Source organism: Homo sapiens, chromosome 5, assembly GCF_000001405.40.
Source record: "Homo sapiens chromosome 5, GRCh38.p14 Primary Assembly".
NCBI classification, from domain to species: Eukaryota; Metazoa; Chordata; class Mammalia; order Primates; family Hominidae; genus Homo; species Homo sapiens.
The window spans coordinates 172701133-172725618 of NC_000005.10; the positions used below are offsets into that span (position 1 = coordinate 172701133).

Genomic DNA, 24486 nt, shown 5'->3' on the forward strand with positions numbered 1-24486 from the left:
CCCCAAGAACACACACACACACACACACACTCACACTCACACAGCCTGGATCATGCCTCCTTACCTGCTCACCATCCAAACCTTGGTTTCCATATGACCTCCTCCAGAAAGCCTCCCCCGACAGACCTCACCCCTGCCCCCACATCACCGGGCTGGATTAATCTGTAAGCATTTTCTTCTCTGTCTCCTTCAGTACCTATCAGCTCCTCAAGAACAGGGACAAGATCTAGTTCACTGTGGCATCCCTATTGCTCAGAACAGTGCCTGGCACGTAGTGGGCACCCCACAAATATTTCTTCACTTAAACAAATGACCACATGGCAGATGAGGAAGACAGGACTTGGGGAAGGTATCCTAAGAGGAAGTTTTCTGACGGCTACAGACATCGGCGTCAGGCCATGCCTGGGACGTTCCTTCCACCTGGGTGCATGCTGAGCCTTTCTTGCCTCTGTCCTGCTGGCTTAGTTTGTTCCACTTCTCCCCTCTCCACTTTTTGGGAGGGTTCTGGGGAGGGTGGGCAGAAGGGGAGAAGTGCAAGAGGCAGGCCCGCTGGGGCTGGAGGGAGGATTTTGCGGCATTTGGAAGACACAGTAGGTGGGAGACGAAGCTAGGGCGTCAGTCCCCTTGATGGTGACTGGGAATTACAGTAGAGAAACGGCGCTGTACGGACACTGCTGGTTTTGTGTTCACAGGACTTTTCTCGCACTGGCACATGGATCACAGCTTTACAAATGCCACATCCTCAAGAAACCACAGCAGACAGTTCCTGCCTCTTCCTCCACCTCCTCCTGAATCAGAAGGGAAGTGAGATTTCTATTTGCCTGGCGTGCACAACCCTCCATAGTTTACACCTGGTACAGCTCTTCAGTTCATCAACATTTACTGAGCCCCACGTGTCCCAGGTGTAGAAGGTCCTTTATTTTCTTACGCTTTTTATTTGCATAATATTCGCTTTTAGACACACCGCCTTGGTCCCTGAAGTGGACAGCTATTATTTTTCTCCTGCCCAGCCTCTTGGAAACAGCACTTCAGTCTTCGTCAGGGGCACCACCCTGCCCCGCCCTGTCCCTGCGCATCATTCGCTTGGCCAAGAACTGTGGCCCGGCCCATCAGTGCCTCCCCGCTCCACTGGACCCCACCCCACCCAAATTCATTGTCCACGCAGCCACAGGAGGGATTTTTCGTTTTCTTTTTTTCTTTTCTTTTCTTTCTTTCTTTTTTTTTTTTTTTTTTGAGGTGGAGTCTCGCTCTGTCGCCCAGACTGGAGTGCGATGGCATGATCTCTGCTCATTGCAACTTCCGCCTCCTGGGCTCAAGCAATTCTCCTGCCTCAGCCTCCGGAGTAACTGGGATTAGAGGCGCCCACCACCACGCCCAGCTAATTTGTGTATTTGTGTATTTTTAGTAGAGACGGGGTTTCACTATGTTGGCCAGGCTGGTCTCAATCTCCTGACCTCAGGTGATCCACCCGCCTGAGTCTCCCAAAGTGCTGGGATTACAGGCGTGAGCCACCGCACCTGGCCGGGATTTTCTTAAAACATAAAACCAGATTCCATCATTCCTCTGCTTAAAATCCCTCAGAGATTCTCATATCAAACTTTAAGCTCTTTACCAGGGCCTGCAGGGCCTTGCCTGACCTGCATAAAAGTCTCAACTGAAATGTGACTTGCTCAGAAGGACCCTTTGTAGCCACACTATGGAGACCTTTGTCTATCTCAGCACACTGCTTCTTTTGTTTTGTTTTGTTTTTGAGACAGGATCTTGCTCTGTTGTCCAGGCTGAAGTGCAGTGGCAAGAACAGGGCTCACTGCAGCCTTGACTTTCTGGTCTCAAGCGGACCTCCCACCTCAGCCTCCAAAGTGCTGGGATTACAGGCATGAGCCACTGCGTCCAGCCACTCTGTTTCTATTCTTTGGAGCATTTATCACATTTTGTCAGTTCAGTTTCCCCCTCACAATGGAGAGGGTGAGGGAGGGCAGGGGCAGCCCTCTCCCCCTCACTTCTTATTCCTAGCATGTGGCACATGGTAGGTGCTCAACCCATCTTTGAAGAAGGCTGGGATAATGACCTTGGGGTGAGGGAGGCCAAGCAGAGATGTGCTGGGCTAGTGCAGTGGCCCAGGACAGAGATGGAGGTGGTCTGTGCTCAGGGGCTGTGAAGCCAATAGACCTTACTGGATGGAGGATGCATCTTATCCATCCGGGCTGCTATGACAGAATACCATAGACTGGGCAGCTTATCCACAGCAGGTACTTACTTCTCATAGTTCTGCAGGCTGGGAAGTCTAAGATCAAGGTGCCAGCAGATTCCGTGTCTGGTGAGGGCCACTTTCTCATAGACGGTGACTTCTCGCTGAGTCCACACGTGGTGCAAGGGGCAAGGAATCTCTCTGGGGACTCTTTTATAAGGGCACTAACCCCATTCACACGGGCTTCATACTCATGACCTAATCACCTCCCAAATGCCCCATCTCCTAACACCATTACATGGTGGGCAGTGGGGTAGAATTTAAACATGGATTTTGGGGTGATACAAACATTCAGACCATAGCAGGGAGGATGTATTTTGGGGGCAGAGAAAACAGAATGGAAACTGCCTTTGCAAAAATCATAGCTGAGAAAATTACGACAGTGAAAGACACCACACCTAACTGACCCCATCTTGCTTCTAACCGTGAAACTGTCCTTGTTCATTCCTTGGCATAGGCCGAACTCGCTTTGGGAAGGAATTTAGTGTATAGTTTATATAATAGGCCTTCCCAAAAGGCTAAACTGTTCTTGTAAAACAAATGAAAGGCCACCAGCCACCAAGTCAAGATGAGAGGGGCTGGAATTCTAAATATTCCCAGCCATTATTCCGGAGGTCCTAAGATTTGCAACTTACCCAATTACTCTTGAAGGTAACATTACTATTGTGAACCTAAGATCGGCCTTTGGAGATGTCTTTTTAGGTTTTTGCATTTCTAACAACTAAATGGCCCCACCTGGACCTGCCAACCAATTATGTGGCCCCCACCCCGGAACTGACTCAGCAGAAGTGAACAGCTTCGACGCCCTGTGAGTTTATCTCCAAGCCAACCAATCAGCACTCCCAATTCACTGGCCCCCTACCCACCAAATTATCCTTAAAAACTCTGATCCTCAAGTTTTCAGAAAGACTGATTTGAGTAATAATAAAACTTCAGTCTCCCACACAGCCGGCTCTGCGTGGATTACTCTTTCTCGGTTGCAATTCCCCTGTCTGGACAAATCGGCTCTGTCTAGGCAGCGGGCAAGGTGAATCCCTTGGGCGGTTACAGAATGTGCTGGCAGGCTGAATGGTGGAGCAGAGAAGAAGGATGAACCCTACATTTCCCACTTGAGCACCTGTGTGGGATGGTGGTGCCAGGGGACAGCGGGAGAGCAAGCATTACAGGAAAACCCACACGTTATGTTTAGGATACATTCGTGGTGTGATGTCTGTAAGACATTTAAGGGAGGGGTTGTGTAGGCAGCTAGACTATGAGTCTGGAGCCGGAGGGAAGATCTAGATTCAAGTATGGGGGTCAACAGCACATTGACGGTGCCGAAAATCACAAATGGTATGAGATCCATTGGAGAGAGCACCTATGGAGAGAATATGGGAGCTCAGGACTGCACTTGAGGATGCCCAAGATTCTGAGATCACATAGAGAAAGAGCAGCCAGCAAAGGATACTGAAGAGAAGAGGCCAGTGCAGGGGACAGGGAAACCAGGCCAGTGTAGTGGCCCTGAGCCGAGGGAAGAGTTTCTCAAGGAGAGGGAAGTCAACAGTGAAGACACTGCTGAAAGATGTGCTGTGATGGGAACAGAGATGTGGCCTTTGGATTCACAATAGGAAGGTCCTGGGAGCTTGGCAAGAGCTATTGTAGGGCCAGGCTCAGTGGCTCACACTTGTAATTCCAGCACTTTGGGAGGCCAAGGTGGGATCACTTGAGGCCAGGAGTTTGAGACCAGCCTGGGCAATATAGTGAGACCTCATCTTTAAAAAAAAAAAAAAAAAAAAAAAAAGTCCGGGCACAGTGGCTCACGCTTGTAGTCCCAGCACTTCGGGAGGCCTAGGCAGGTGGATCACCTGAGGTCACGAGTTCAAGACCAGGCTGGCCAACATGGTAAAACCCCGTCTCTACTAAAAAATACAAAAAAAAATTAGGCAGGCGTGGTGGCACACAGCTATAATCCCAGCTTCTGGGGAGGTTGAGGCAGGAGAATCTCTTGAACCTGGGAGGTGGAGGTTGCAATGGGTCAAGATTGCACCACTTTACTTCAGCTTGGGAAACAGAGTGAGACTCTGTCTCAAAAAATAAAATAAAATAATAAAAAATTAGCTGGGTGTGGTAGTGCACTCCTGTGGTCCCAGCTACTCACGAGGCTGAGGTGGGAGGATTGCTTGAGCCCAGGAGGTTGAGGCTGCATTGAGCTGTGATCACACCACTGCACTCCAGCCTGGGTGACCAAGTGAGATCCTGTCTCAAAAAAATAAATGAGTAAAATAAAATAATGGATAAATAAAAGCCATCCCCCATTTTCCAAAGCCCTCCTCATGAGCAGTGCTGAATCACAACTAAGAACCATTGCTCTAGCACAAAAGTCAACAAACTTGTTCTGTAAGAGATAGATGGTAAAGTTTTTCAGCTTTGCAAGCTGTATGATTACTGGCACAACTATGCAATTCCATCATTGTAGTTTGATAGCAGCCACAGACAATTCCTAAGCAAATGAGTGGGACTGTGTTCCAATAAAACTTTATTTAAAAACACAATTGGTGGGCCAGATTTGGCCCATGAACTATATAGTTTGCTGGCCCTTGCTCTAGCATGTGTGCTGATGAGGATCACCTAAAGAAGAAGGCACTGGTGATGTGGAAGGGAGAGAAAACCAAACAAGCAAGGCTTCCAAGAAAGCAGGAGGAGATCCAGGGCCCAAAAGCTGTGGTGGCTGTGGTGGGGAGAAGGACATTTGCTGCTGTATGGCAGGCAGAGAGAAGATGCAGGAAGGAGGTAGGTTTGGTGGTGGGCATATGCAACTTGCCCCTGGAGACCTTCTATTGTTCTGTGATAAATGAGTGGAAGCCTCAGCTGAGAGTGGGGGAGAAGAAGGGGTTCTGAGAATATACAGACAAAGGAAAACCATCTTCTCAGGAATGAGCAGAAAACCTTCTAGAGAACCATGGTAGGAGGGCAGGGCAATGAGAGACCATTTGGGAATCATAAAACTGAATTAAAAGTGAACTCAGTCAGCTTGGCAGTGGTATTTTTGTCTCCTCCCTTCCGAAATTTGTATGCTGAAGCCCAAACTCCCAATGTGATGGTACTGGGACTTGGGGCCTTTGGGAGGCAATTAGGTCATGGTGGAGCCCTTGTGATGGAATTAATGCCTTTACAAGAAAAGATATGAGAGCTCGCTCTCTCTCTCTCCACCCCCACACCCCCCGCCCCACCGTTTCCCTCTCCCTCCTCCTCCTCTCCCCAACATGGTGTGAAGACACAGCAAGAAAGTGGCCATCTGCAAGCCAGGGAGAGAACCCTCACCAGGAACCAAGTCACCAGCGCCTTGACCTTGGACTTCCAGCCTCCAGAGCTGTAGGAAATAACAGTCTGCTGTTTAAGCCCTGAGTTGGTGGGATTTTGTGAGAGCAGCCAAGCTGACTGTGATAGGTGGGATTTTACCCAGCAACACTCAGCTGCTCCAGAGTGCCCTGGAGAGGGGAAAGGGTGGATTTATCCAGGGTCAGGGCTTTGCCAGGCAAGCAAGAGGAAGGAAAGGGGGCACAGCAGGGGGCGGGAGGAAGCAAAAAGGCATGGGTGGCAGACCCCAGGACCTGAGCTGGGGAAAGCAGGAAATAACGGCTGCCAGGCAGGATGGATGGTGAGAAGAGGGTGAGGCCAGTTGGCTGGAGGGCGAGGACCAGGGATGGGACATCAAGGAATCCTGAGCAAGTGGCCTGGAGGGGTGGGAAGTGGTGGCCGAGAGCTGGGACCTAGACTTGACACATCAAAAATGAAGCCCCTTCTGAGAATGGTGGAGAATGATGTGATGGGGCAGGTGGCTGAGCGGCAGGAGCAGGTGGCTGCAGGTGGGGAAGGGGTGAAGCTGTGAGGCCTGGGGACTTGGGTGGGTCACTCCCATGTGGGTTAAAATCCCCCCACCCACCCAGTGAGCTCAAGTCTTCTGTAAATACAGGGACGGGGCAGAGGCACGAGGTCTCCTGGGGGCCGGCAGATGGCACCAGTGACTTGGGAAAGAGCAGCACAGCCAGATGTCTACAACTCCCAAAGGAGAGGAAGGAGCCCAGAATCCGCACATCCGCTCCAGCTCCCAGGGCCCCAGTGTGGGGAAACTTCTTCCACCTGAGACACCCAGGGCACCGCGTCCTGGGGACAGCCCATTTTAGGCGGAGGAGGGGATGGAGATGCTGCTCAGAGGAGTGGGGCATGAAGGCCTGCTGAACTCAGAGGGGACAGGTTGCACAGGGAGGGGAGTGTGGGCTGGGAGTGGGGTGAGTGCCTGAGGGCAAATGTGCGTGAGCATGGGGATGAGGATGTGGCGGTATGTGTGAGTGTGCGTGAGCTGAGGGTGTGGGAATGTTCGTGCGTATGCAAGTGACTGCAAGTGTGTATGTGAGTGTGGGGGGTGTGAGTAACAGTGTTAGTGTATGAATGTAGGTGTGTGAGAGTGTGAGGGTGAATGTGTGTGTGAATGTGTGGGTGGGTGAGTGTCAGTGTGGATGAGTGTGGATGTGAGTGGGTGTGTCTGCAAGAGAGAGAAAGAGGAGAGAGAGAGAGAGAGAGAGATGGATAGGATGGGGATGGCTAGCGGGTGGTACAGGGCAGTGCGGGGGCGAAATCCAGAAGCTGCTGGAAGGCCATGAAGGCTGACAGGTGGGCTGGGGTGGTCAGGGGCCTCAGGGAGGGCTGTCACCACCTCCACTCCTGTGTACTCCGAGGCCTCCCCAGCTGAGTGGCGGCTCTGGGGCAGCTACTCCTCAGAGTTCCTTTCATCTGAGTTATTGGCATTTTCTGGATTGCTGCTGTAGGTCCTCGTCATTAATTTTAAGATTGCAGCCAGGTGCAACGGCTCACGCCTGTAGTCCCATCTACTCAGGAGGCTGAGGTGGGAGGATCTCCTGAGCCCAGGAGGTCAAGGCCGCAGTGAGCCATGACGGCAACCACTGCACTCCAGCCTGGGCGACAGAACGAGGAGACCCTGTCTCAAAAGAAAAAAAAAAAAGACTTACATGGTATTCCATTGATTGGGTATTGCATAATTTATTCAGCATTCCCCTATTAATATAACACACATTCTCATTGTGTGCAGAAATGATCAATTACCAACATCACTGTCACACGGGTCCCAAAGCTATCTTTTGGCTCATCCCACAATTGCTTCTACAGGATAAATTCCTTGAATGGAAATTGTTAGGTTAAAACTATGCAGAGGTCTAAGATGATAAACCTATGCTGCCAAAACGCTCTCCCAGAGGACTGAGACAATTTACAAGTAAGCCAGCAACGTGAGCATATCCACTTCTCTTCAATCTCACCAATTCTGGGTATTATTTATTTTTTATCTCTGATCAGTTAGATACTTTAGATACATGGCGTCTCATTGCTCTTGCAAAATACTGTTATTTGATTATTAACAAGCATATACATTTTATTATTTGAGTATTGGCTATCTTCCTGTGAATTGCCTTTCCTTGTCTTTTGCTGATTTTGAAGCAGAGTCTTCCTGGTTAGTAAGAGCGTTGGTAAAAACGAAAATCTTTGTTGGTCATATATGTTAAAAATATTCCTCCCAGTTTATTATTTGACTTTCTATTCCAATGGGGAAATTGTGCATTTTCCTATTCCCCAAATCCTATTATTCTTTATATTTAAATCGCATAAACATCCTAAGGTAATTACTGAGAATTTATGTCTTTCAAATATTAAATTCTCCTCTCCAGATACATAATAGCTATCTCCGTTATTTTTTCAAGTGTTCTTTTTGATTCCTTGTAAACTTTTATTGTTTTCTATATTAGCTACTTCCCGTGTGGCAGGACGCTGACTACATGAAGATGTCTCCTTCGTGGTGGGCGGGGGACTAACTCGTTTCAGATCAATCCTCCCACTTAGAACAACTAGAGAACCTGGACGAAATATATACATATATTTTTTATTTTTGAGACGGAGTCTTGTTCTGTCACCCAAGCTGGAGTGCAGTGGTGTGATCTGGGCTCACTGCAAGCTCCGCCTCCCGGATTCAAGCGATTCTCCTGCCTCAGCCTCCTGAGTAGCTGGGACTACAGGCGTCCGCCCCCATGTCCGGCTAATTTTTTGTATTTTTAGTAGAGACGGGGGTTTCACCGTGTTAGCCAGGATGGTCTCGATTTCCTGACCTCGTGATCTGCCCGCCTCGGCCTCTCAAAGTGTTGGGATTACAGGCGTGAGCCACCGCGCCCGGCCACGTCCAGCTAATTTTTGTTATGTTTAGTAGACACGAGGTTTCACCATGTTGGTCAGGCTGGTCTCAAATTCTTGACCTCAAGTGATCCTTTCGCCTCAGCCTCCCAAAGTGCTGGGATTACAGGCATGAGGCACCATGCCCAGCCCTTGGATGAAATACGTTTTGATTTAGGTAAAGACATTAGTGAAGTACCCAGGCAGACAGGACTTGCGGGGCCAGTGTTTGAGGCTGCCTTTCCCTGAGAGCAGCTGCCTGTTCAGAAACAGCGACCCAGCAGCAAGTAGCAGTGGCAAGCCTAAGACGAGCAGAGCTTCCACGGGTCTCATGAGGACAAAATGCAGATTTCGGGACTGGCCACAGGCTGAGGGGAACGCCTGAACACCCCGGATTTTCAGTTGAGATCCCTCCCAAAGGGAAATTCCCTAGAAATAAGGGGAAATCAGAAGTAGGTCAGACTGGCTGGGCACAGTGGCTTGCGCCTATAATCCCAACACTTTGGGAGGCTGAAGCACGTGGATCACTCAAGGTCAGGAGTTCGAGACCAGCCTGGCCAACATGGTGAAACCCTGTCTCTACTAAAAATACAAAAAAATTAACCGGGTGTGGTGGCACATGCGTGTAATCCTAGCTACTCAGGAAGCTGAGGCAGGAGAATCACTTGAACCTGGGAGGCAGAGGTTGCAGCGAGCTGAGATCGCACCACTGCACTCCAGCCTGGGTGACAGAGCGGGACTCTGTCTAAAAAAAGAAAAAAAAAAGAAAGAAAGAAAGAAAAAGAAATAGGTCAGTCTTTAAAATAATGAAACCCCCCACAGGCTCATAGATATTCGGTAATTTTATTTCAACCCTCCTTCCTTTCCAATCCGTGATCTAATCTGTAATCTAATCTGTAATCTAATACATCTATCTCATACCTTTTTATATGTTGTATTTCCATTTTTATTTAGTTTTTATTTCCATTTTTATTTAGTTCCAAATATTAATATTTTCTCTTTTCCATTGAGTTCTTTTTTGACCCAGATTATTTAGAATTGCATTGCTTAATTTCTAAGTAGTTGGGGATTTTCTAATTATCTTTTGGCTTTTGGTTCCTAACATAATTCTACAATGTTTGGATAATATACTCTGTATTAGTTTGATCTTTTGAAATTTGTTTTTGCCCTGGCACATGGTAAATCTTCACGAATGCTCTGTGTGTACTTGAGAACAATGGATATTTTGACATTGTGGAGTGTGGTGTTTGAAATACATGAATTAGGTCAAGTTTGTTTATCATGTGGTTGAAATCTGTTTTTTTAAATTTGTCGTCTGCTTCAGCTGTGTTAAAAGTCCTCCCCTGTGACTGTGGATTGAATATGTCTCCTTTAGTTCTGTCGACTTTTACTTTATATATTTTGCAGTTATGGCATTAAGAACATAAACACTTAGAATTGTTATAGCTTCGTAGTATACTACAATTTTTACCCTTATGAAATGTCTCTACCCTTAGTAATGTTTGTCTTAAAATCTACTTTTCGGGGTCCTTTCTGGCCCATCCTTATCTAAGCAGCCATCACAGGTGGGATCAGGATCAGCCCTTGCCTCCTCCACCTGCACACTCTTTCTTACAGTGGCATCCTCCCCTGTAGTTTTTTTTTTTTTTTTTTTTTGAGACGGAGCCTTGCTCTGTCACCCAGGCTGGAGTGCAGTGGCATGATCTTGGCTCACTGCAACCTCCACCTCCCAGGTTTAAGCAATTCTCCTGCCTCAGCCTCCGAGTAGCTGGGACTACAGGCGCGCACCACCATGCCCGGCTAATTTTTTTTTATTTTATTTTTAGTAGAGATGGGGTTTCACCATATTGGTCAGGCTGGTCTTGAACTCCTGACCTCGTGATCCGCCCACCTCGGCTTCCCAACGTGCTAGGATTACAGGTGTGAGCCACTGCGCCCGGCCCCTTGCAGCTTTAATAACCCAGCTGAGTCCAGAATCCCTTTCTCCCTTGGGCCACTCTCCAGAGCACTGTACCCTGCAGCCACTGGACAGCTCCTCCAAGCCACCACCTAGGAACTGCAAACCCACCCTCAATCCCAGTACCTCCACCCATCAATCAATTACTCAATCTGTCAATCAATCAAATAACAACACCCTGGTCCTCATCTCACGTTCTCTCCAGGTGAGAAGTCCTGGTTTGTGGAGTTGCATTGGACTCTGTCTCTCCCTAATCCCCCCACATTCAATCCATCAGCCAAGCGCCACTGGTTTTACCTCCTAATTATATCTGGAATGTGCTCTCTACTGCCCACCAGAATCCTTGTCCACAAGGCCTCCATCTCCCCTCAGGAGGGCTGCAGCAGCCCCCTAACAGATCTCCCTGCTCCCATGCGGCTTTAAGCTGTCTCATGCAGAGGCTGGAGTCCTCCTGCCACCAGGATTCTCACCCTGTCACCCCCAGCTCAGAACCCTCCAATAAAAATAACAGCAACAACAAATCGGCCAGGTGTGGTGTCTCACACCTGTAATCCCAGCACTTTGGGAGGCTGAGACAGATAGATCACCTGAGGTCAGGAGTTCGAGACCAGCCTGGCCAACATTGTGAAACCTCGTCTCTACTAAAAATACAAAACTAGCCCTGCATGGTGGTGCACGTCTGTAGTCTCAGCTACTCGGGAGGCTGAGGCAGGAGAATTACTGAACCCAGGAGGTGGAGGTTGCAGTGAGCCAAGATCGTGCCACTGCACTCCAGCCTGGGCAACAGAGGGAGACTCTGTCTCAAAAACAAACAAACAAAAACAAAAAAACCAATAACAAATCTGCCAGCCCTCACTGAGCACTGCCAAGAACCTGCACTGTTCCAGGCATGTTGCTTGTGCAGATTCATGGAATTGTTACAGAAGCCCTATGAAGGGACCTCTGTTACCACTCCATTACCCAAGCGAGAAAGCAGGCACAGAGAGCTTAAGCAACTTGCCCAAGGTCACCCAGCTGACCAAAGCAAAAACAGGACTCAAACCCAGGCAGCCTGGAGCCAGAGACCACCCCCTTAACCAGGCATCACTCCGATGTGCCAAGAAGATAAATGAATCTTCTCACTGAGGCTGAGAAGGCCTTGTGAAATCAGGCCTGCTGGCCTCCCAGACATTGTTCCACAGCTGCCTCCTCCCATCCAGCGTCTCTGGCTTTCACACTCACCAGACTTCCTCCCTGCCCAGGGCCTTTGCACATGCTGTGTGCTCTAGGAAACCTCGCCCCATCCCCTGCTCATAACTTCCAATCAACCCTCTCCCCCAGGGTCCTTGGCTGCCTGGGCCACCGGGCAGTCCCTCGGGTATATGCTTTCATGCACCCTGAATTTTTCCTCCACGCATTTCTAACAAAGGCTGTATTAATACATCTGTGCAGGCGCGTGAATATGTTTCCTGATGGACTATGAATGTGGCCAGAGCAGCCATCGTGTCTAGCTTCGTCCATTGTGGTCCCCGGTGCCTATCCCAGTGGCACTGAATGTTTGTGGAATGGATGGGTGAATAAAGAAATGAATGCATCCCCGCAGATGGGGGGCTGCAAAGCCCTGGGGTCAGGCTCTCTGCCTTCCTCGCCTTTGTTCCTTCGTTCGCTGACCGCCAGAGGGCGCCAAAACCCGGGAAATGGCCCGCCTGATGCGTGGACTCCAGGGGGGTTCCCCAGCAAGGGGAAGGGGCCGGGTGCCCAGTGGGTGGGCGCCGTGGCCTCCCTGAAAAACACTGTGGACAAATAAAGACTAAGGCCTGGTTTGACTCCTTCCCCGGCAGCTTCTCAGCTGTGACCAGCAGACACCCTGCCTCTCAGGGGGATGGCAGAAATCCTTGCTGCCCGGTAGGAACTGAGCCCAAGGGCCTGAGGTAGGAAGGGATGTGTTTGCACAGCAAACATTCGTGGATGGAGCCAGCCTGAAAGGGGACTTCTAAGTGGGAAAGAAAAACAAATACTGGTCCCCTACTCTCACATGCCTACAATCCTGGCAACTCCCATAGGTAGGTAGGCATTGCTGTTCTCCATGTCTGCACTTGGGGAAACTGAGGCACAGCTGTACCCAGTGGAGCTTGGTGATGCCTTCCCACCCCTTGCCTGCCTACTGGCCACCCCTGCATCTAGCTGCCTCCACATGAGTGGTTCTCACAGTGTGGTACCTGGAGCAGCAGCAGCTCCTGTCCACCCAGACCTCCTGATTTAGAGACTCTGGGATTGAGCCCAGCAACCTGTGGCTAAAAGCACTCCAGAACATTCTGATGTGCAGTCAAGTATGAGAACCTCTGGTCTGCACCAGCCCTTTCTCGGGCCTGGGCAACACAACTGTGAGGACAGTGAGGCGGGACCCTGAGGGAGGGGAGTGAGAGGTGAGGCTGCTCCATGGGAGAGGTGAGGCCAGTGTCCCAGGCTGCCCAGAGCCCCCTGGGTGGGCAGGGCCCACCAGGTGGAAAAGCCCCAGAAGATACCTTGCACCTTCTGTGCCCACTCAAGTCCCAACAGACAGCCCGAGGGCTGCAGAGGGTTGGCAAGCACTGGCCATGCAGGTTCCCAGGACCCTCCCCTGCCTCCCCCGGAGGGGGCCTGGACAGCTGCCATCTGAACCGGTCCCCAGCCATTCCTCTGCATCCTAACATTGGAGAACTGCAGGCTCTGGAGGTTTTGGACCAGCCAGAGCCAGGTGTGAATTCTAACACATCTGTGACCTAATACAAACCCTGTCCCTCCTTTGATCCTTGGACTGCTCCCGAATAGAAGACGGTCATTATGAAAAAAAAGAAAATGAGAGTGGTTTAGAGAATCGGAGGTGGCTTGGGACATTCAGAGCAGGAAATGGGTCTTGGGGGTGGGACCAGCCGCAGATCACTGGCAATGAATGCCATCCTCAGAGCACAGATTTTGTCCCTGGGGCAAAGGCATTATCCCAGGCAGGCAAGATAATCAGATTTGCATGTTCCAACATTGCACCTGAGGGTCTGAGCTGATGAGAAGGCTGTCCCTGGTGGGCTCCTGGCACCAGCTCTGGGCCAGACCGCCTGGGTCCAAATTCCTACCCTGCCCCATCCCCACGGCTGCAGGACTTTGTACAACAGACATAACCTGCCAATGCCTCAGTGGCCTCATCTGTCAAAGGAAGATAAGGGGAGTAGTGTTCACGAGCATCAGATGAGAGACCTCATGTAAAGTCCATGGCGGAAGGGCCCCATCCCTGATAGCTGTTACTGTCAATCGGTGAGATTGGCCCCAGTTGGTGGGAGCCAGCTGAGGAGAGCAGTCTGTGAAGGCCCTCTATAGGCAGCTTTAGGAACAGCATGGCTCCGTGGGCACAGTGTTACAGGACTCCCTCCAATCCCCACTCCTGGGTGCCCCAGGAAGGGAACTGACGCCCGGATTGGACACTAGCCCCCTCCTCCTTCTCCCGAGGCCTTTGGCCTGGCCCTGCACACATGACCCAGCTTCCTGTTTGTGATGCCAGCGCTGGAGGGAGGAAATTCAGTGCCCCAGCCCCAGGGCTGCAGGGCAGGAATGTGGACGTGTTGACGTCAAAGCTTGTCCTAGTTCTGGGGAAGTGGGATGGGAAGGGCTTCCTGCTGAGCCACCTTTGATCCCAGGTCTGATCTGGGAGAGTGACCCTGGACAGCCGGCCCAGAGGGAGTTCAGACACCCAGAGCTTTCTCTGGTGGCCACCATGGGCACCAAGCTCAGGGTCCTTCCCCAGCATAGCTGTTTGGCCTTGGGCAAATCACCACGCCCCTCCAAATCCCCCACCTGTAAAGCAGGATTAAAAATGTGTATCTCAGAGCATCACCCACTCATCAGATGCGTAGTAAGCTCCTACTTTGTGCTTCATTCTAGGGATGAAGCCTGCCCAGGCTGTGGTGGGCTCTGGCCAGCATCCCCCTGGCTGGTGGGCCAGGGAGTGAGAGGGGCCGGGAGGAGAGGATGCTCGTAGACAGAGGCACAAAGCATGTCCAGAGGTGGCTGCTAGGAGATTTCCCAGCACTAGGGCTGTGACTCAGGCTGAAGCCTGAGCCCAGGCACTTCCTGGCTGGTGACTCAGTTTCCCCAATTCTACAGCGGCATCACACAACATCTGCTTCTCAGCATCGAAGAGGCGTTGAGGCATGGCCGGTATGTGTCTGTGGGGTCCTTCAAAATCTTATTTATCAAGCAGTTAGAGTGGGCTCAGGACTTTGTGTATGTGTTTGCTCTCTCAGGTGAGCCTGAAAAGATCAGGACTGCGACTCCCATTTTACAGAGGGATAACCTGAGGCTCAGTGAGGTGAAGGCAGTTCAAGATCCTTGACAGAGGCTCTGGATCACTGCGCTAGAAAGTGGTGGGGTGGGGAAAGACCGCTGGGCTTTCTGACTTCAGCAACACGTTCTCCAGTAACCAGACTTCCGAACAGTGGCAGACAGGGCCCTCTGCCTGGCAAGCACACACCACAGGACCTGTCCCACAGAGGGCCTCCCAGCCCGCTCTGCCAACCTCACCCACAGGCCCCCAAACTTGAGAGGGTTGACATAGGCCATGGAGACCTGTGCGAATGTCTGCCTTCCCTACTCCAGTCGACCCCCTGCATCACCCAGAGCACCAGGCCAGGGCCTGGAGTCACGCTCTCCTCTGCCCAGCACTGCCAGGAAGGCAGAAGGTGAGACACAGGAGAGAATGCATGGCGAGAGTGGGCATTTATTTGGCACGTCCTAGGTGGGCTGGGCTGCTCGATGAGATTTTAGGTATATTATCACCATCAGGAAGATTCTAGAGGTAATGAAACTGACATCCAAGAGGGGAGGTGACCTCTCCAGGGTCTCCACCCTGTGCGCCTCAGTTCCCCCAACTGTGACATTGGATGAAGGAGCTCATGCTCAGGGAGGCTGGGAGGGGTCCTGAGGAGGGCTCAGAGCAAGGCCTTGGGACAGCATAGTCCCTGCAAGGGAGTGACCGCTAGGGGCCTTCCTGGGAGCCTGCTGTGCCCTCAGCCCCAGCCCTGCCCACCCTCCCTTTCCCTCTCTGCCTTTCTCCAGAGCACGGCTCAGCCCTTTGGGGCTCTGCACTTTGGGGCCAGAGAGACCTGAGTTAGAATCCAGACCTGCCACTCACTGGTTATGCGACCTGGGCTGAGCGGTTCTTTTTCTCTGAGTCTCAGTTTCCTCATCTGTCTGCGTAAATAAATGAGGGTAATAACCAGCCGCATTTCAAGGGGTCTGGAGGTTAGGACATCATATCTTTCAAGTACCTGGTACGCTGTCTGACGCAGAGTAACCATTTAATAAAGCGGAGCTGTTGTTGCTGTCGCTGTCATTGTTGGCGTTTATTTATGAATGTCGAGGCGGCAGGTGGGCCTTGGTGGGACTGTACGGACATTTCCCGGATGCCCGGAAGGTGGCGCTAGAGACCCCCTTGTCGGCTCCCAAGAGAGCGCTAAGCATGGTCTTCACATCATCGGGAAGAAGCCAAACTTAGACGCCCGGATGGTTTCCAGCTCTGTTAATTCCCTGGGCAGATGCTTCCTGAACACCCCAACAATGTTCTCAGGTCCACCACTGGGGCTGCGGACCTGGGGCTCCTCCCCACCAGCCACCCCGCCCTCCCCAACAGGCCTCCACTGCCTTTCTCTCCCTCCCTTTGTCTCTCCTGCCTCCTCCCTCCCTTCGTTTCTTCCTTCCTTCCTTCTTACAAATAGGCACTGTGCACCTACTGTGTGCTGGGCTCTGTACGATGAACTGGAGATGCCCAGGGAAGAAGACCTTTGAAAGGCTGTGCCCTCTGGAACCTCCAAACTACGTGAGGACACAGAAATAAACAAGAGAAAGAAGAAAAAAAAAGATGCTTTCAGATCCTGGCAAGCATCGGGAGAAAATACAACAGGGTGGTGGGATAGAGGGACGGAGGAGCTGGGGTGAGGAGAAGGCGGGAGGTGGTCAGAGGGAAGGGCCGGTGTGGAGGGGGCCGCCGGAGCAAGGACCCTCGGACACGCAGCCCAGCATATCAGGGAGAAGAGACAAGAGGAAGCAGTCGGGTGGGGGCAGATGTGGCCAGAATCAGAAGCGGGTCTGCGAGGTACAGACTAAAGGGCCGGTCAACTGCTGCAGCAACCACAGCCACCACTAATGCTTACTGAGCACTTACTAGGTGCCAGGCACTGGCATTGTCCCATTTTATAGGTGGGGAAACTGCAGAAGGGACCGCAGCCAACAGTGTTTTCAGGGGCCCTGGGAGTTCCCAGGGCCACTGGTGGAAGAAGGAAGAGAGAATGCTCAGTGAGAGTGGGCATGCATTTGGCACGTCCTCGGTGGGCTGGGCTGCTTTATGCTATTTTAGGTACATTGTCACCATCAGGAGGATTCTAGAGGTCATGCAACTGGCATCCAAGAGGGGAGGTGACCTGCCCAAGGTCACAGTCGGGGATTGGCAACCCTGAGACCTGAACCCAGGTCTTCCCCATTTGGGCAGGTGGCCCCCTGTGCCCAGAAGCCTCAGAGCCCTCTGGAACGCCATTTTCCTTGGGCCCCACAAATAATCTGGCTTCAGTTTGCCCCTGAGCCCACCTGTCAGCAAATCCACTCCACATCCCTCGGGGATCCTGCTCTATTCCACCTCCAGCACTCCCACGAATCCCCATCTCTCCCTGGATGGCTGGATCCTGTTTCCTCCTTTCATGACACTCTGACCATCTAAAGTTATCAGACCTACTTGTGTACATTCATCTCCCCCACCAGACTATACCCTGACCCCAGTGGGTCTCCCCAGCCTCCTGCCTCAACCCCCCTAACCTTTCACCCTACCCTTCACCACACAGATGTGCTTACACCATTCTGAACAAGCACACCACTCATGAGAGCAGGCACAGACCCATCTTCATCCCCCTCTCCTCACAGCTGAGCACAGTGTGTGCATGGAGAAGGGGCTCAGTGAAGATAGGTGGATGGATGGATGGATGGAAAGACAGATAGATGAATGGATGGGTGGATGGATAGAAGTCGAATGGATGGATGATGATGGTGGACAAATGGATGAATGACGAATGGGTGGAAGGAAGATTAGTGGATGGATGGATGGATGGATGGATGGGATGGATGGATGGATGGACAGGATGGATGTATGAATAGATGGATGGATGCATGGATGTATGGATGGATGGATGGATGGGTAGATGGATGGATGGATGGATGGATGGATTGGATGGATGGATGAACAGATGGATGGATGCATGGATGTATGTATGTATGGATGGATGGATGGATGTATGGATGGATTGGATGGATGGATAGGATGGATGAATGGATGAATAGATGGATGGATGCATGGATGGATGAATGGATGGATGGACACGAGGGATGGATGGATGGACAGGATGGATGGATGGATGGATTGGATGGATGGATGGATAGGATGGATGGATTGGATAGGATGGATGGATGGATAGATGAATAGATGCATGGATGCATGGGTGGGTGGATGGACAGGATGGATGCATGGATGGATGGTTGGACAGGGTGGATGGATGGATGGATGGATGGATGGATGGATGGATGGATGGATGTTTGAAAGACTACTTGACCTAAGCCTGTGTTTGCTTTTTGACCCACAGGAAGGAGGTCAGAATAAAAGATGGCAGCAGTGACCCAGGTAAATAAGTCCTCCAGTGTGGGGCTATGGTGGGGAAAAGGGGTTAGGTGCCAGTGCTGGGGATGGGCCATCAGCAAATTCTGGCAACATCTAATGTGCACAGAGCAATGATGAGTAAACCCCAAGACGTGACCTGGAGCATCTCTTGTAAAGAACAGGGAGAGGGTGTAGTCCCTGAAGCTGGGACCAGGGCAGCAAAGCACGTCAAGGCTCTGACTCAGCCAGGAGCCATGGGAGTTTGAGAAACTGGGCGCAAACACCCACCTCATGCATGAACACGGCTCTGTATAGGCATGAAGGACTCTCACTTGTGGTGCCATGACTGAGCTTCCAACCATGGTCCTTGAAGCCAGTGGGACTCTACTCATGGTGCAGATGGAGAAACAGATGCTTCCAGAGGGGAAGTGACTTGTCCAAGACCACCCAGTCAGAAAATGGCTCACAGTTGGCTTGGGTGGGAGTTGGTGGGGTCAAATGGTTCTGGAGGGGCCAGAGGCTTGGGGTACGGGACTGTCAGGCCGGACTCAAGGGTCCTCAGGTGTAGACTCAGACCTGCCGCTCCAAGCTATGTCTCGAGTGCCCTGAGTGCCCTTCCCCAAATGCAATCTGACTGTGTCACGCTGTTTTTTGGAATCCTTAGGTGGCTCCCCAGTGGTGCGGGATCCTGTCCCAGACACTGGCTTGGCCTTCTGGTTCCTTCATCCCCTGCCCCGCAGACTTCTCCAACCTTGTGCCTCCACCTTCCACTCTCTGCACCCTGCCCTCCACCATCCTGACATGCTTACGTTTTCCTGAACAAACAGACCATATGTGCTTTCTAAGGCCCACACACATTTACACAGGCTGAGCCCTCTGTTAGGGACACCTTACCAACCTTCTTCACTCCAGTAGTTCCTACGGTGTCTTCAAGGTGTAGCTCTGGCCTCAACTGTCTCTGATCCACCCACTTACGTTTAGGCGGGGCAAGGTAGTCCCACTCCTTTCTGCCCCAATTACATGCTATGCTGAACTCTACCATCAAGACAATTACCATAGGCGATAATTAGCTGGTTACTAGTCTGCCTCCCCAGCTGGACTGTGAATTCCAAGAGAATGAGCTTTGGGACTTATTCACCTCCGTATCTGTAATGCCTGGCACAGCAGCTAGTTATTATTTGTGGAAGGGAGGGAGGGAAGGTAGAGAGCACCTTACAGTCTGTGAAGTGTTCTTTCATGCATGTAATTATTTTTAAACTTGGGGCAGCAAGGAAACATGCTGGGAAGGGTCCTCACCTCAAGCAAAGTTGTCATGCAGCAATCCTTTGTAAACCTGGTGTCTGGAACTCAAAACATAGAGGAAAATGGTGCCAAAGTGTTCGACTTTTGGAATATGGATATGCAGAGAAGCACCTTATGCTAGGGAAAGGACTCAAGCTTTGGAATCCAGAAGTACTGCAGTTTCAGAACGTTTCTAGCTGCAGGAAAGGAAACCCAACTCCAAGCCTCCACCTGACTTAGATAACAAGGGAGCTTGTTGGCTGGTGTGAGCAGAGCTGAATCTTCAGAGTGGTGCAGGCTGTCAAGGAGCTGGGTGAAGCTTTCGAGGACCTCTGTCCTCTTCATAGGTTCCCAAGTCAGTGTTACCCTGAGCGCATGGCACATGCTTCTCATTCCGCTATAGGAGGGGACATATTCCAATATCCATCCAGGAGTCCATTGGGCAGTTGTTCTCATTGGACAGTCTTGGGTCACACGACTACCCCTGAACCAATGCCTGTGGCCAAGGGAATGGGAGGCATTATCTGGTTCCAGCCCATCAGAGCCCTCCTTGGAGTTGAGGGGGCTCCCCTCCAAGCATGCTGGCTGTGGTCGGGGGGTGGTGGTAGGTACTTAGAAGGAGATCTGGGGATTGTTAGAAGGAATGGCTGCTGGGTAGGCAGCCAACAAGTGTCCCCAGCTCCTGAGTTCAAACTTTGACCCTGCCTCTTCTGTCACCGTGGGCAAGTCACTCCACCTCTCCAGGCCTCGGTTTCCCCACCTGTAAAATGGAAGAGTTGTGTTTCCATCACAGAGTGGTTGTGAAGACTCAGGGAGACAGAGTTTAAGAGGCTAGCCCAGTGGGAGGGGCCCAGGGGTGGGTCCCAGGGTCCCACCTTCTTGGTTCCTGAGGTTCTCAGGCTAGCCCACATTTCTCCACAAAGGAGCAGTGGTCTAGCCTATGAGAAATGTCACATGAGAAATATTTCTTGTTGTTTGTGAGAAAGGAGAGCACGTTTGTCCCAACGGGGCGAGGTGAGCCATTCAGGGGACAAGAAGGGCCTGTATCTCACCCGGACTTGGAGTCCATCTCAGCAGCACTGGGCACATCCTCATACTCAGCCCCTCATCCGTCCCAGACTCACTGGTGTCCCTTGACACCTCAAGTGTTCTCTTCTGCAAAAGGGGCCTGCCTGGCCACGTGGCCAAGGGCACAAACTCTGGAGCCAGGTGGCCCAAGGTCACCTCCCGGCTGTGCAACTTGGGGCCAGTTAACTGACCTCTCTGTGCCTCAATCCCCTCATCCGAAGAACAGGGACAATCATCATTCCTACCTCCCAGAGTTGTTACAAAACTTCAAATAAATCAAATCTTTATAAAGCATTTTATGAATGGCTATAGCGCAAAGCTAAAGCTATTGGAACCGGTTCAATGAACGCCAGAGCGTTATTTTCCAAACTCAGTCAGTTCCAGCGCGCTTTGATGATTTTTGCTAAATCTGCAGAGCACTTGTTTTCAAACTTAATATTTGTTTTTAATTGGCTCACTGAACTAAATGTATCTTAAAAGGAAACGTTGCATCACCACCCCGAATGGAAAAGTGGAATCATTTCCCATCAACACAAAAATGAATATAACAAGTGCTTACCATGTGCCAGGCACTCTGCTAAGCACATTACAAACATTAACTCATTCATCCCCATGAAAACCTTATGAGATGGGCACCACTGTATCTCAGTTATACAGAGGGGAAAACTGAGGCACGGGGATCTTAAGTAACTTGCACAAGGTCACAGCTGGAATGCAGCAGCATTATGATTTGAAACAAGGCAGCCTGGCTCCAAGAAACAAGACAGATAAATAAAACAAGGTCACCTCTTCTGTCTCAAGGTGGCCGCCTCCTGCAGGCTCTGTGCTGGGACCGCTATCTGTCACGCTATCTGTTAGATCAGCAAGTGGTAAAGAGGCGTTAAAACCAGAGTAGCACAAGCTGAGACTTTCTCCTTGAAGCAATCAGAAAATGGAAGGACAGCCAGAAAAAACAAATTTCTCACTGCGGGATTTACTGATGTCCTTAACGCCGAGAGTATATAAAAGCATCTTTCCTGGAGCCAGCAGTGTGCAACCCGTATTTTGTGAAAGCCCAAAGCAGAGGAAGCGCCCAGCGGCACCACCAGCATTTGCATCCCCCCATCCACACCCCCAGCCCCTGGCATTTTTTAGGTCAGGACATTGTTCAACATCGAGATGGGCAGAGCCACAGACAGGGATTAAGAAAGACATTAAATCCACTTAATAAGAATAGGCGAAAACCAAAAATTAATCACCAATAAAAGCAAATTAACTACCTGTACAGCAAAGTAATATCATATCACTGTCATACTACAGAGAGGGGGAAAACGAGCAAATCCATATAAGCGCTTAACGACCTGAACGCTACGTTACCCTTGGTGTAAAGGCAACAGTACTGGAAAGAAGGCTTGAACTTTATTTAATAGATTTATTGTTCACCAGGCCTGAAACCATTCTGTGGCTATTGTAGCTTTCAGCAAATGAGCAAACATGTTAATGTTGGAGAGTCAAGGTTTTCAGCAAGGAAGCTGCAGATATGGAAAAGGGGAGTTAAGAAAGAAGCCTGTGGTGTTGGACTGGAATTTGAGGTAAAAGCATGAGCTCATGACTTAAATATACCCAAACATACTCTGTCTGCTGCAAGGGCCTGAGCCCAGTGACACCCCCGTGTCAATGAGCCCACCTACCACCTACCACCCCCATCTTGGTTTCTTTATTTTTTTTTTTTGAGACGGAGTCTCACCCAGGCTGGAGTGCAGTGCAGTGGTGCAATCTCGGCTCGCTGCAACCTCTGCCTTTCCCAGGTTCAAGCGATTCTCCTGCCTCAGCCTCCCAAGTAGCTTGGATTACAGGCATATGCCACCACACCCAGCTAATTTTTGAATTTTTAGTAGAGATGGGGTTTCACCACGTTGGCCAGGCTGGTCTCGAACTCCTGACCTCAAGTGATCCACCCACCTTGGCCTCCCAAAGTGGTAGGATTACAGGTGTGAGCCACCGTGCCTGGCCCCTAATCTTGGTTTCTAAATCTCCTTCCCCAACAAAAGGAACCAGGGCAATTTGGGGAAATGGACAAGTCCAAGGCTGAAGGAGGAAAGATACAAGATGAGCCTGGAACATCGAGTTTTGCCAAGAAATAAGGAAGTGACCAAAGAATGATGGGGATGCATCAAAAGGACACAGGAGCCAGTTTAAAGAGGCCACTGTTCCAACTGTGGAACAATTTGGGCATTGACTCATTGTGGACAATTGAGCATTGAATAATGATGGCAGTGGATTATAGCATGTTAAATGAAAGAGAACCCATGAATTCACCCTGGTAAATATAAAATAAAGGAAAAAAAGGAAGGAGAGAAAGAGGGAGGAAGGGGGAAGGAAAAGCTTTTCCTAACAGAAAAATGGCACCTAATAAATGAAGAGGGAAAAATGGGTTTATACAATCCTCATTTGTTAATTATCGCAGTAAACATTAATTCATTTATCATCAGTGGATGCCGGGGGATCATCAGGTCAGAATCACCCAAGAATGGTGGAGCTAGAAAATCATTAGATTCCGTAAAAGTCAAAATTGATTTGGGTAAGGGAGAGAGGTTTGTTGGGAAGTGGGCAGGACCTATACACAGTCTCGGAGCATCATCCTCCGTACCGCTTATGGATCCCAAAAGGGAAAAGTGGCCCTTGGCAGTGGAGAAATCTGGCAGATACCAGCTTAACCAAGGGATCAGCTGGGACCATCCAACGTCGTGCGCCTCTTGTCACGATGTGCTTAGGACACGGCCGCACTGCTGTGTAATCCTTGCCAAAAATGAGAAACCTGAATCTCATCACAAGGAAACAATCTAATAGACCCAAACTGAGCTGGAGGACATGCCCACAACAATGAGCCTGTGTTCTGCAGAAAATGTCAAGGTTGTGAATGAGGAAGAGAGCTGAGGATGCAACTACTCCAGATGAAAGGCGGGGAAAGAGGCGTGGCAGCCGAGCATCGGCTGGATTCCGAGCTGGAGTTTGGGTGGGAGAAAGAAGTACTATCAAGGGTGTTATTGAGACAAGATTGGCAACGTCTGAATGGAAACTGTATGTACGATCCTCATACTGGAGCAATGTAGCCTTATCAAATTTCTACTGTGATTAAGCAGCGGGGGATACTGAAGTATTAATATTTAGAGATGAAGAGCCATGATCATGATGTCTACAACTTACTCTCAAAGGGTTAAGCAAAATAATAATGTGTGTGTGTATATGTGTGTGTGTGTGTGTACAGAGGGAGAGAGAGAAAGCAAGTAAGTCAAACATTAGCCATTGGTCAATTTAGGGCAGAGTTTCTCAAGCTTGTCACAATCGACATTTTGGACCAGATAATCCTGTGTTGTGGGGACAGCTGGCCCTGTGTATTGTATGATGTTTACCAGCATCCCTGGCCTGTACCCACAAGGCGCCAGCAGCGTTCCCTAGTTGTAACAACCAAAAATGTCTCCAGACATTGCCTGCAGACAGGTCCCCGTGGGGAGCGGGCATACCCGATGGCCGAGAGCCACTGGTGAAGGACAGAGAGGTGTTTATTGAGCTATCCTTGGAACTTTTGAAATTTTTCCAAATAAAAATTTTTTAATGTTCGGCTATACACCAAAGGAAGAGGGCTGCAGGTGGTGGGAGCGGGGTCAATGGAGGGTCATTTACTCTCCTGGCTGAGCTTTTACGGCTTTGCCGCCCCCGCCACCATCAAGCGCCTTACGGGTAGATGACTTTTTCATCTCCATCGCCCCGCAAAGGGGGTTGGCCACAGTGATGTGCACCAATGCTGAGCAAATTCACAACACCGTCACTTACAACTGGGGATCAGTTAATCAGCCATCAGATGGGCCTTGTCACCAGTCAATAGAGCCAGCGTCAAGTCAACAGAGGCGAGGCTGGCAATGGAAGCCAGACCCAAAGGGCAAAGGTTAGGCGGACAAGTGCAGAGGGCGGCTCAGAGCCACGGCCGGGACTGGAGCTCCCAGTGGATCCAGTGTGGGACGTGGAGACTTTTGATGGAGCTGGACAGAGGGGATGGGAAGTAAATATTGATTGGGGTCCTAGGACCTCAGTCAG

General features: G+C 50.5%; 2 annotated features.

The window, feature by feature from the left end:
* Positions 11657 to 12264: an enhancer, noted in NCBI's record as "H3K4me1 hESC enhancer chr5:172139792-172140399 (GRCh37/hg19 assembly coordinates)". NCBI's record gives its function as "activates a minimal SCP1, AML or CMV promoter by ChIP-STARR-seq in primed H9 embryonic stem cells {active_cell/tissue: H9 hESC(primed)}" and the evidence as "EXISTENCE:reporter gene assay evidence [ECO:0000049][PMID:30033119]".
* Positions 13480 to 14085: an enhancer, noted in NCBI's record as "H3K4me1 hESC enhancer chr5:172141615-172142220 (GRCh37/hg19 assembly coordinates)". NCBI's record gives its function as "activates a minimal SCP1, AML or CMV promoter by ChIP-STARR-seq in naive H9 embryonic stem cells {active_cell/tissue: H9 hESC(naive)}" and the evidence as "EXISTENCE:reporter gene assay evidence [ECO:0000049][PMID:30033119]".